The 2,180-nt window shown below is 34.4% G+C and overlaps 1 annotated feature.

Annotated features, from left to right (window-relative positions):
* Positions 250–450: a silencer, noted in NCBI's record as "peak7043 fragment used in MPRA reporter construct". NCBI's record gives its function as "represses an SCP1 promoter by STARR-seq MPRAs in K562 erythroleukemia cells {active_cell/tissue: K562}" and the evidence as "EXISTENCE:reporter gene assay evidence [ECO:0000049][PMID:32103011]".

Here is a 2,180-nt window from a genome sequence, read left to right on the forward strand (position 1 = left end):
GGACTTATTTCTACTCTCCTCTTTTAATACTAAAATTAGTATGCTTCCAAGTCCAGTTCCTGGGTAACTGCTGTTGCTATTCTAGGCCATCTGTGATCTTCAATAGCACCACGTTTGGCGTTTCCAAACCGCAGCTATATCCCGTCACAACTCCTAGTGATCTGTTGTCTGTTTATTTGCAGAATTGGTCATAATTTGGTCCTTTTTGTATAAATTGTCTACATTAGCTCTTAAAATTCTGCAGTTGTCTACCGGGGTGCCAGCATTTGGATGGGTGTTATAACACTACATTTTCTCTTCATTACAAGTCCTAAAAATAGGGTGCCACTGACTAACGTTTTCAGCCTTCACAGCAAGATTTGGTTTGTCAGGAAATGGTGTGGGAGTAGTTCTCATATGCACTGAAGGTGCAAAGTGCAAAACAAAAATAACTCAACAAGAGTTTAACAGCCCTTCTTTATGTACGTTATTTACAAAGGCCACAATCTGGAGTTTCAGGCAGAGCCTTGGGAAGCTTGGGAGACTCTTCTGGAAGAGGAAAAACTGCCAATATAGATTACACAAAAGGGAAGATGGAATGGAAAAAGACAAGATTTAATTTGCTATCTCTGCCCTCTTCATTAGTATTCAAGCATCAATAGAACTTTGAGTTTATTTGAACTTGGAAGAACTCTTCAATAATATAATGCCTAAAAACATATGGAGAAACCTCTAAACTATTCTTGCTTTCATTTCTGTATGTACAATTTCCCCCATCTCTCTAGAGGGTGACTACTTTTTTTCAGCTGTCTTATTTTCTTATACGAAAAAAGACATGTTGTATTAGAGAATCTTAATTGCTTTTTCACTTTCTGTGGCTTCATAATGTTTAGTATCAAATATTTTGCAAACATTGAGACACTTCAGAATTATTATTTCTACCCTTCAATAGAAATTGTAAATATATTCAGGAGGCAGGAGAAAAACAGTTGTCTTTATTAATAGGATTTCAATAAGGAAAACAGGAAGCCATGATGTTGGATGCATTCTTTATTCCAGCTCTAATAAACATATTCTTGATAAAGCTAAAAGTCATAGATGAAGATAATTAAATCATTTTGCTTCTTCTTTCTTTCTTTTCTTTTCTTTTTTTTTTTTTTTTTTTTTTTTTACTACATTGCCATTAGTCATTCTATTACCAACTTGGAAGAGAACTCTAGCACATTGCATGGCATTGGGATGAATTCTTTATTTCCATGCCAATGAAATATTGTCACAAACACCTTGTTCAAGCAAAAGAAGATTTAGAATAGCTTTGCTTTATCACAGCTTGCAATGTACTCTTGGAGTTAATAGAATCACACAAATGAAATAACCAAAGAGATTTCCTCCTTTGCACTTTTTGAGGTACTTTCTCATCATAAGTTTTTCAGTTTTACAGGATGGAAAACTTTCTCTTTGTACTTAAAAATCAGAGAGAGAAAAACACACACTATTTTATTTGAAAAGCAAAGACGATGATGGATTAAAGCAGATGTAGAGTGTTTGCAGTTATATAAGACTATTAGGGACCCTGCTTGTTCTGGTTTTTGTAATTTGTCCATGTCCTACTTTATATAACTCAATCCATTGTGAGCCAAACATGAAATAAGTGAATACAGTATTCCATATTTCACTTTGTCAGCAAATTTAAAAAAAAAGGTAGAACAAACACAATAGTCATCATGGTTCTTGAATACAGAACGAAGCATTTTTCAAATCGCAGGGACCTGTAAGAAAAAGAAGGTTAAGGAGATTTTTCTTTAAACAATGAGCAGATGTGTTTGTTACTGTTGATGGACAAGCTTATCCATTTACTTCAATTAATAACAAGAGTGAACCCATCAATACGTAAGCTTGTCCTGATGCTTTGAATTTTTTTCCTATTTGACAGGTAATAGTGGGGCTGGGAAAATGTCACAACAATTTAGTCCTGCCTCACTGGCTTTAACTAGTTCAGTGACAATGGGAATGCATCTTGCTAAGATTCCTTATGATTCATAATAACGCTGCATCTGTCGACCCTTACAGAGGGTTTAAAATCTGCGACAATTAATGGCATAAAATCAAATCTTTTCATGGGTTATTCATTTGGGCACTAAGTAAAATCAAGTTAAAATATTAATGAACAGTATGAAAATGTGGAAACTTTCTTTAGGAAC

This window comes from Homo sapiens, chromosome 8 (genome assembly GCF_000001405.40).
Source record: "Homo sapiens chromosome 8, GRCh38.p14 Primary Assembly".
Classification (NCBI taxonomy): domain Eukaryota; kingdom Metazoa; phylum Chordata; class Mammalia; order Primates; family Hominidae; genus Homo; species Homo sapiens.